Genomic DNA, 10,756 nt, shown 5'->3' on the forward strand with positions numbered 1-10,756 from the left:
GCTTCTAGGAACCAAGCCTCTTTGAGACACTTTCACAACCACTGCAATTATATGAAGAAATACTGTATTCTAATCCCCATTTAGAGGGAAAGAAAGTGTTATGGGTTGAATTGTTTCCTTCACCCCCCAAATGTACCCCTAACCCCTAGTACCTCAGAAGGCGACCTCATTTGGAGATAGGGCCTTTACAGATATGGTGAAGTTAAGATGAGGTCATTAGGATGAGCCTACTCCCATATGACTGCGCTCTTATTAAAAGGAGGAAGTGGGACGCAGAGAGAAACGCACATGGGGAGAACGCCACGTGAAGGCTGAGGTCGGGATAATGCATCTGCAAGCCAAGGAACACCTAAGAGGACCAGCAAACCACCAGAAGCCAGGGGAGAGGCGTGGAACAGACCCTGCCTTACAGCTGTCAGAAGGAACCAACCCTGCCAACACCTTCCTGTTGTACTTTCAGCTTCCAGAACTGTAAGATGACAAATTTCTATTGTTTTAGCCACTCAAGCTTGTGATACATACTTTGTTATGGCATCCCCAGGAAACTAGTACATTAAGTCTTAGGACCCAGCACAGTGGTTCACGTCTGTAATCCCAGCACTTTGGGAGGCTGAGGCGGGTGGATCACCTGAGATCAGGAGTTCGAGACCAGCCTGGCCAACATGGTGAAACGCTGTCTCCACTAAAAATGCAAAAAATTAGCTGGGCATGGCCGGGCGCGGTGGCTCACGCCTGTAATCCCAGCACTTTGGGAGGCCGAGGCAGGCGGATCACGAGGTCAGGAGACCGAGACCATCCTGGCTAACACAGTGAAACCCCGTCTCTACTAAAAATACAAAAAAATTAGCCGGGCGCGGTGGCAGGCGCCTGTAGTCCCAGCTACTCAGGAGGCTGAGGCAGGAGAATGGCGTGAACCCGGGAGGTGGAGCTTGCAGTGAGCCGAGATCACGCCACTGCACTCCAGCCTAGGCGACAGAGAGAGACTCCGTCTCAAAAAAAAAATTAGCTGGGCATGGTGGCACACGCCTGTAATCCCAACTACTTGGGAGGCTGAGGCAGGAGAATTGCTTGAAGCCGGGAGGAGGAGGTTGCAGTGAGACAAGATTGTGCCATTGCACTCCAGCCTGGGCAACAAGAGTGAAACTCCGTCTCAAAAAAAAAACCCAAAAAACAAAAACAAAACAAAATTAAAAATTAGCCAGGTGTGGTGGCATGTACCTATAGTCTCAACTACTCAGGAGGCTGAGGTGGGAGGATCACTTGAGTCCAGAAATTCGAGGCTGCAGTGAGCTATGATGGCACCACTGAACTCCAACCTGGGTGACAGAGCGAGACACTGTCTCTAAAAGAAAAAAATTCTTAGAAAATATGCCCAAGATTCAGTTATGATATAGCAGAGCAGGTGGTCCAGTCCTTGTGTTCTCTCTCCCAAGGTCTGTTCAATTTACGCTGTGCCTAAAGGAGAATACTGATAGAGATGATAAACACGGAAAGAAAACCAAACTGCAATAGGATGCCATTTCTCAAGATTTGCCCCACCCAGAGCCGAGCTTCATTTAGACTTAGCTTTAGTGGAACTTTCTAGCTCCCTCCCATGTCTTGACATCCATTACCACCATATGTTTGCTTGGGATAGAGGTCAAAGAGGATCCTCTGGCATGTTTTGCTGGGTTCCTGTAGTCATTTCAACAGGATTAACTATAATCTATAATTGATAGATTATTGAGTGACACACAGCGTGATGCTGGGCAGGCCCCAAGCTGAAAAGCATCTCCTCCAACTTACTTTATTCTTAGCAATTCATTCCTTTGGTTTGAAAATTCTTCAGCATCTTCAAGAGTCCTTTACTAATGCATCCTTTGGGGGAGTTGTGCTAAATTATCAACTCACAAGGATGAGATGGCTGGCTCTAGGGAGCCAGCCTGCCAACATGGATGGGCTGTCCCAGGCTCTCAAGTGAGCTCAGGTCTGTACACTGCACTCCAGGGAAGAGTAAATGTGCCTGGGGCATAGAATGGAGACTTTGGAGTTTGGAGTTTGGAGTGGGTTTGGGGACATCAGCTTCTCTCTTCCAGTTAGTCTGATAAGTCCTTTGTTGCCTGGCCCTGGAAACCACTTGTGCTCCGAAAATGCCATTCTCTGGAATGTAGCTGTGGAGTAGGGAGAGAGTTGGCCCCTGTGTTCTGTAACCCAAGCAAGTACTGTCTCACTGCCATCTTGGGGCAGACTCCGCAGTAAGGAGAATCTCTCTTGCCTTTTTGTGTTTCTTGGTTTCTTCCTTTGTAAATACAAGGCATAGTCTCTGCCCTTCCCCCAGATTGCCAGAAGAGTGGGATATATTGTTCTAGCAATATAAAGCTCTGAGGCCTTTCTGCAGGACTGTAGACACCACTTTGCTGTGATAGTGAAGAATGTGGGGAGTGTTGTGAGGCTAGGCGAGCGGCCCGGCCTTGCCCATGACAGCTCAGTCTCCTCCCCTCATAACTTTTTTACCTAACAGAGAATTAAAAAAAAAAAACAATTTAGCTGGGCACAGTGGCTCATGCCTGTAATCCCAGCACTTTGGGAGGCTGAGGCAGGTGGATCACTTGAGGTCAGGAGTTCGAGACCAGCCTAACCAATGTAGTGAAACGCTGTCTCTACTAAAAATACAAAAATTAGGCAGGCATAGTGGCGCATGCCTGTAATCCGAGCTACTCAGATGCTGAAGTGGGGGAATCACTTGAACCTGAAAGGCAGAGGTTACAGTGAGCCGAGATCATGCCACTGCACTCCAGCCTGGGTGACAGGGTGAAACTCCGGCTCAAAAAAAAACCAAATAATTAATCAACAAGGAATAACTCCATTGGTCTCTAATAATGAGACAGAGGGGGAAGAAACTTCGTCCAACTATTCAGGAAGATTAAGCAATTCTGAACCGTTAGGAGTAGAAGAAGTGAGCGTATTCTCGTCCAAAACACTTGGAAAATGTCTGTTATTCTCTGAAGTGAATGGATCTAAATTCAGAAATGCTGAGAGAAAAAATGAAAGTGATAAATATGGCTCCTTCGCTGCATTGGTTCTTCTATGAATGAAGTTTTTTTTCATTCAGAAAAAAGTAGTTATTGAGCGCCTACTATGTACTGGACGCTGAGCTAGGCCCTGGGTGTACAGTGGAGAGCCAGATGAGGTCCCTGCCTTCATGGAGTTCACATTCTAATGGAACAGGTAGATAATGAACAACTAAATTTATAACCTCAGGTGGTGGTAAGTGCTGAAGAAAATACACCATGGAATAGTATGGAGCCATAAAAAATAACAAAATCATGTCCTCTGCAGCAACATGGATGCAGTTGGAGGACATTATCCTAAGCAAATTAACACAGAAACAGGAAACCAAATATTGCGTGTTTTCACTTATAAGCGGGAGCTAAACAATGAGTACAAATGGACACGAAGATGGGAACAACAGACACTGGAGACTCCAAAAGCGAGGAAGGAAAGAGGAGCTAGGGCTGAAGAACTTCCTGTTGGGTACTGTGGTCACTCTCTGAGTGACAGGATCAAGAGAAGCCCAGACCTGAGCACCATGCACTGTGCCCTTCTAACAAACCCGCACATGTGCCCCCTGAATCTAACCAAAAAAAAAAAAAAAGGGCAAGATCTACCAAGTTCATGAGTAGGAAGGTTCAATATAAAGATGGCCGGGCGCAGTGGCTCACGCCTATAATTCCAGCACTTTGGGAGGCCGAGGTGGGTGGATCACCTGAAGCCAGCAGTTCAAGACCAGCCTGGCCAACATGGTGAAACCCCGTCTCTACTAAAAATACAAAAAAAAATTAGCTGGGTGTGGTGGCTCATGCCTGTAGTCCCAGCTACTCGGGAGATTGAGGCATGAGAAACGCTTGAAACCGGGAGGTGGATCAAGTTGAAGTGAGCCGAGATCACGTCACTGCACCCCAGCCTGGGAGACAGAGCGAGACTCTGTCTCAAAAAAAAAAAAAAGGATTTAATTTCTTCCCCAATTTGTCCATAAACTCAATATAATTCTAAATATCATGCCTGTAATCCCAGCACTTTGGGAGGCCGAGGCAGGCAGATCACGAGGTCAGGAGATTGAGACCATCCTGGCTAACACGGTGAAACCCCATCTCTACTAAAAATACAAAAACTTAGCCGGGCGAGGTGGCGGGCGCCTGTAGTCCCAGCTACTCGGGAGGCTGAGGCAGGAGAATGGCGTGAACCCGGGAGGCGGAGCTTTCAGTGAGCTGAGATCACGCCACTGCCCTCCAGTCTGGGTGACAGAGCAAGACTCCGTCTCAAAATAAATAAATAAAATTCTAAATAAAATCCAAATACAATTTTTTTTTTTTGTAGAAAAAAGAGAAAAAAGCAGGGTAAGAAGAGAAAGTGGTGGAGCTGAGCTGGGCAGAGTGGCTCTTTTAGAAGCGATGACATTTACACATAGGTCACTATGGAGAGGGCCATGCAGACACCTGGAGGAGTGCCACAGACACAGGGAAGAGTGCAGGTAAGACAGGGTAGTCTGGGATTGTCCTTCTTATGTCCCCAAACCCGCCTGGGGCAAGGGGGTGGACTGGCCTTTCTCCATCCCCTCTGTCAGGCCCGTCTCCTCCTATGGCTAGTCACTCACATCTGCTAACAACAGACTGGCTGCAGTACAGAACGTCATCTCTTGCTATGGAGAGAATAGGGTTAACTTGTCTATACCACGAGCAAGCCCTTGTCCTGGATCCCGCTGCTCAGTCACCCTGGCATAGTGCCCATCCCACTGAATCTGTTAGGCTGCCAGACCCTGGGTTCCCTCTGCAGAACGGAGATCACGGAGTACCACTGAGTGCGTTCTCAGACTCGCCAGAGGGCTCTGGTGTTTTTGTATTTCTAGCAATGATGAAGGGGCAGAGAAGGGCTTAAAAAGGAAGGCTCCCTTGGCCTTCCAGCTTGATAAGCCCTCAGGCACAAAGGCCTCCTAAAACACTTTCTGTCTTTAGATAAAACCAGACCACACCTTGCATTTACCACTGGGTGTCAGACAGTTATTGGTGATCCTAAACTCATGCTGTCTGATACAGTAACTACTAGACATATATGGTTATTGAGCCCTTGAGATGTGGCCAATCTGAACTGAGATATGCTGCAAGTTAAACCACACGCTGGATTTTGAAAACAATACAAAAACCTGTGTGAAACATCTCATGAATTATTTTCTAATTGATTGCATTACTTTATATTGATTTTTTTTTTTTTCTTTGAGACAGAGTCTCACCCTGTCACCCAGGCTGGAGTGCAGTGGCATGATCTCGGCTCACTGCAACCTCCGCCTCCTGGGTTCAAGTGATTCTCCTGTCTCAGCCTCCCGAGTAGCTGGGACTACAGGCGCCCGCCACCACGCCCGGCTAATTTTTGTCTTTTTAGTAGTGATGTGGTTTCACCATGTTGGCCAGGATGGTCTCGATCTCCTGACCTCGTGATCCACCCCCTTCAGCCTCCCAAAGTGCTGGGATTACAGGCATGAACCACTGTGTGTGGCCCCATATTGATAATATTTTTGATCTATTGGGTTAAATAAAATACATAAAAACAATAATATAATAATAATAACAATGTAATAATAAAAATTAATTTCACTTGTTTCTTTTTTTTTTTTTTTTTTTGAGATGGAGTCTTGCTCTGTTGCCCAGGCTGGAGTGCTGTGGCACGATCTCGGCTCACTGCAACGTCTGCCTCCTGGGTTCAAGGGATTCTCCTGCCTCAGCCTCCCAAGTAGCTGGGACTACAGGCATGTGCCACCACGCCCAGCTATTTTTTTGTATTTTTAGTAGAGACAGAGTTTCACCATATTAGCCAGGATGGTCTTGATCTCCTGATCTCGTAATCCACCCGCCTCGGCCTCCCAAAGTGCTGGGATTACAGGCATGAGCCACCACGCCCAGCCTTGTTTCCTTTTTTTTTAAAAAAAGTAAGAAATGTTTTAGGCCGGGTGTGGTGGCTCAAGCCTGTAATCCCACATTTTTGGAAGGCAAGACGATCACCTGAGGCCAGGAGTTTAAGACCAGTGTGGGCAACATAGTGAGAGCTCGTCGCTACAAAAAAAAATTCAGCCAGGCATAGTGACATGCGCCTGTAGTTCCAGCTACTCGGGAGGCTGAGGCAGGAGAATTGCTTGAGCGCAGGAGGTAGAGGCTACAGCGAGCCAAGATCATGCCATTGCACTCCAGCCTGGGTTACAGAGTGAGACCCTGTCTCAAAACAAACAAACAAAAAATTTTAATTATAGATGTTGCTCCATTATGTTTCTGTTGGACAGCCCTGATCTAAATAGATTCTACAGCTCCTTTCCTCTTTCCTGATAGAATCTCAATTCTCTCAGGAAGTTCTTTTTTAATCTAAGTCCTGGTGGCTATATTCAAAGTTCATGCCCTCTTATCCAAGCCTAGCAGAGATAGAGATGAACTGTATCCCACCTTCCTTGTCATAGCCGTTCATGCCTTCAGAGATCTTTCCATCTTTTCAACATTCTTTCCTCAAGGCTGAATAGTGCCAATTCTTGTCTCTGCTGGTGGGGATGGAGAGGAGAGCTCCTCTGGCCCAGTGAAATCACCCAGTCCAGTGCCCTGCCACATAAGGAAATTCCCGGAATATTCTTTATAGAATGGGTTATTCAGAGCTAGACAAACAGCTCTCTTGAACCCGTGGAGGGTTAAGGGCAGCCAGTTTCTATTTCAGGCTTTCTCCTCTGGGCCTGTCAGATCTACTGAAGACAGGAATGAAGTTGTTTTCCAGAATTCTCCTGTCCAGCAAGGGCCGCAGGCAGCCCGTGCTGCCAGGAGAGCACACCTCCCTACTGCCATCCCAAAGAGGTGGATCTTCCAAAGGCTGCCAGGCAAGGACAACATTTTATATTTCTGACGCTAGGATTATTTTCCTGTTTCATGGATGGCAAAACCAAGGCACGAAGAGGTCAAGTGCTTTGGCTCTGTTGATGAAAGCAGCCTGAGCATGGCATGGTGAACTCAGAGGGGCCTGATCAAGAGTTCCAACTCATGGCCGAGCATGGTGGCTCATGCCTGTAATCTCAGCACTTAAGGATGCCGAGGTGGGTGGATCACCTGAGGTCAGGAGTTCGAGACCAACCTGGCCAACATAGGGAAACCCAGTCTCCACTAAAAATACAAAAATTAGGTGGGCATGGTGGCGTGCGCCCATAGTCCCAGCTACTCAGGAAGCTGAGGCAGAAGAATCACTTGAACCCGGGAGGTGGAGGTTGCAGTGAGCTGAGATCGTGCCACTGCACTCCAGCCTGGGTGACAGAGCGAGACTCCATCTCAAAAAAAAAAAGTTCCAACTCTGTCCCTGTACTAGCTGGGTGACCTGGGGTGAAGTGCTTAATCTTTTGGCATTTGTTTCTTCATCTGTAAAAATGAAATAACACATAATCTGTAGAGTTGGTGCGAAGTTTGAATGAGACAGAATAGCAAAAAGTAGTAAACTAGGCCAGGCATGGTGGCTCACGCCTGTAATCCCAGGACTTTGGGAGGCCAAAGAGGGAGGACTTCTTGAGCCCAGGAGTTCAGCCTGGGCAAGCATGGCGAAACCCCATCTCTACTAAAAATACAAAAAAAAATAGCCAGGCATGGTGGCACACGCTTGTGGTCCCAGCTACTCAGGAGGCTGAAGTGGGAGGATTGCTTGAGCCTGGGAGGTAGAGGTTGCAATGAGCTGAGATCACACAGCTACACTCCAGCGTGGGTGAGAGTGAGACCCTGTCTCAAAAAAAATAAAATAAGGCTGGGCATGGTGGCTGATGCCCGTAATCGCAGCACTTTGGGAGGCTGAGGTGGGCGGATCACATGAGGTCAGGAGTTCGACACCAGCCTGTCCAATGTGACGAAACCCTGTCTCTACTAAAAATACAAAAATTAGCTGAGCATAGCGGTGTGCGCTTGTAATCCCAGCTACTTGGGAAGCTGAGACAGGAGAATCACCTGAACCAAGGAGGCAGAGGTTGCAGTGAGCCAATATCACACCACTGCACTCCAGCCTGGACAGCAGAGCAAGACCCTGTCTCAAAATAATAATTATAATAAATTAAATAATAGTAAACTGTATGCCTCAGCTTAGTATCTCCAAGGTGGAAATCATACAGGACCTACCTTCAGCACTCCTGTCCCTCCCTCTTTGTTTATCTTTTTTATTTCCCGCTTCCATTCCCCTGTATTTTTCCCTCCTCCTTGCCTAAGCTGTGGGCCTGCACTTGGCACCCTTGGACACGACCTCCCCTTCCTAGTGATACTCAGACTAAAGAAGTCACTGACTATTGTTTGGGAACCATGTCATGATACCTAGTGTCAACGTTCCATAAACACCCAGTAAACATAAGTGTGGTCTAAGGGAAGCCACACATCGAAATTCCTGTCTTGGAATTTGGACAATGGCAAGATGCAGCCACATTCTTTACAAGCGTGGAGGCGTTCGTGAGGCTCTGCCCTGGGACTGGCAGGGAATGAACTGGCTTGGGACTAACATAAGTGGAGCAGCTATGTGAAGAGCCACGGGAACCGCTACCTGTGATGGCAGGTGGGCAGCAGCCACTATTGACACTGTGTAATGAAAAGAGCAAATGTGTGCGGCTCGGTGGCAGCACAACTAAGGACAGGGCTCAGTGATGGAAAAGAGGCATGAAGACAAGGGGCTCCCAGCAAGTGAGGCAGCGATGAGTTGGAATGAAGGCTGGAGGGTCGCAGGGAAGCTGGAAAGTGAGTTGGGTGGGGACTGTCTGCAGAGGGGATCTTGGCTCGAGTTTGTCATCTCAAGGAGCAGCTATGGGGCTTTTTGAGGCATGGTAATTAGATGAGACAACCCTGGCAGGGCATGACTGGCAACGTGGGTGGCCCTGTATGGTCCCCCAGGGGTTCCCAGTCCCCACAGCTTCCCGACTCCCTGGCCCCAGCCATTCCTCAAGCTCCCAGCAGCTCAGGAACTTGCGTCAGCAGCTCAGGTCATGACACCAAGATCAGGCTTGGAAAGGGGGAGGTGGAGGGAGGGGAGTTTTTGGCCCGGAAATGGCTGGGAAGACTTCCTTTGCTGGGATTAACTGTTGTCCGTGAAGCTGGTGGCATTCAGCAGGGCACAGGGTGTTCTGGGGAGTGAAGTATGTGGGGGAAAGGGGTGTCCATACCTTCACCCCTGCCTCCCTCTCAGAGCTGCACTCCAGCTGTGGTGAAAGAGTGGATCTTTAGGCAGATACAGATACAGAGATTCCCCCCACCCCACCCCACCAAAGGCTTTCAGGACCTCTAGGTTCATTCGTGTGTGGGGATGGAGTAAGGAGGTTGCTCATGCTTGCCAGCCAAGTGTATGTAGGCTGAGCTGGGGTGATTTTCTTTTTCTTTTTTTTGTTGAGTTAGGGTCTCACTGTATTCCCCAGGCTGGTCTGAAACTCCTGGGCTCAAGCGATCCTCCTGCCTCAGCCTCCCAAGTAGCTGGGACTACAGGTGCACACCACTGCACCTGCCTGGCTGGGGGTTGCCTCGTTAGGGTCCCCAGGCCCGGAAGGTCGCGTGCTTGCTATTGCTGCCCCGCAGACCCCCATGGCCTGCTGGAGCTAGGGGGCGCCAGAAGCCTTACTTCTGTGTCTCTGGCCGATGAACAAGAGAGCCTGGATACTGCTGCAGAGCAGAGGCTGTTCCGGAGAGCAGGGCTGGAAGGTGGTGGGGCGGGGTGAAGTCCTGACTAGAGGCTGGGAGCTTCTGGGTGGGCAGGGTCTGCCAGGGCAGGAGCCTGTGTGAGTGCAGCTTCCTTTCTGCCCGCCCCTAGCTTAAGGCCAGAGAGTAGGCAGCTTGTTTTCAAGAATCCCAATGGCTTTCTTCCTCCCACTCCCTAAATCTTCTTGCCCACCCTCTAACCATGCCCAGGGCCTCTCGCTGTGAGGTGGCAAGTAGCCCGAGAAGCAGATGGTAGCCCAGGCCTTGCAGTCCCCGCTCCAGCACACCCCTCCCGTCCTCTCGCCAGGAGGCTGCCTGGCTTTGTGGTCCGGAGCAAGTCACTTCTCGACGGGCTTCACTTTGCCCATCTGAAGTCTGAGGTTGTTAGGCGTGTTTTCTAATGGCCTGCCCAGCTCTGACATTTTTGGATCCTATGTAAAGGGAACCCTCCTTTCCACCCTCATTCCCAGTCCAGAGTGAGGAGATTGGGTAAATTCCCAGAGCCCTGGCACTCCCGTGGAGCACTCAGGAAACGCTCCTTCACCCCTCAATTCTGCTCTCACACACCCCGTCACACATAGACTCACATACACCAAGCAGAGAGGAGCAAAGAGAAGGACCATGTAAGACAATCACGGACATGGCGTTAGAAGGAAACTGAGAAACGCTCTACAAGAGTTCGATGTATTACATTATTTTTAATTTAGATGAAATTCACATAACACAAAATTTACCATTTTAAAGTGTACGTACACTTCAGTGGCTTTTCATATATTCACAGTGTTGTGCAACCACTACCCCTATCTAGTTCAAAAATATTTTCAGTTCTCCCCTCCTCCAGCATCTGGGAAGCATCCATTCACCTTCCAGCTCTGTGGCTTTGCAGGTTCTAGACATTTCATGTAAATGCAGTCATATAATATGTGGCTTTTTGTGTCTGGCTTTTTTCATTTAGCATAATGTTTTCAAGGTTTATCCATGTTGTAACATGTATTCTTTTAAAAAAAATTTTAATGTGTAAAATATACATATCATAACATTTACCTTTTAAT

The 10,756-nt window shown here is 48.5% G+C and overlaps 1 protein-coding gene across 1 annotated transcript in view, besides 2 other annotated features; it reads left to right on the forward strand.

Annotated features, from left to right (window-relative positions):
* Positions 1-10,756, forward strand: part of ITFG2 (integrin alpha FG-GAP repeat containing 2) — a 47,124-nt gene that overhangs the window by 23,818 nt on the left and 12,550 nt on the right. The window contains exon 14 of the transcript NR_147202.2: positions 260-471. The gene's annotated coding sequence lies outside the window, so the exon portion shown is untranslated. The remainder of the gene's footprint in view (positions 1-259; positions 472-10,756) is intronic.
* Positions 8,342-9,329: an enhancer, noted in NCBI's record as "H3K4me1 hESC enhancer chr12:2953993-2954980 (GRCh37/hg19 assembly coordinates)". NCBI's record gives its function as "activates a minimal SCP1, AML or CMV promoter by ChIP-STARR-seq in naive H9 embryonic stem cells {active_cell/tissue: H9 hESC(naive)}" and the evidence as "EXISTENCE:reporter gene assay evidence [ECO:0000049][PMID:30033119]".
* Positions 9,330-10,315: an enhancer, noted in NCBI's record as "H3K4me1 hESC enhancer chr12:2954981-2955966 (GRCh37/hg19 assembly coordinates)". NCBI's record gives its function as "activates a minimal SCP1, AML or CMV promoter by ChIP-STARR-seq in primed H9 embryonic stem cells {active_cell/tissue: H9 hESC(primed)}" and the evidence as "EXISTENCE:reporter gene assay evidence [ECO:0000049][PMID:30033119]".

This window comes from Homo sapiens, chromosome 12 (genome assembly GCF_000001405.40).
Source record: "Homo sapiens chromosome 12, GRCh38.p14 Primary Assembly".
NCBI classification, from domain to species: Eukaryota; Metazoa; Chordata; class Mammalia; order Primates; family Hominidae; genus Homo; species Homo sapiens.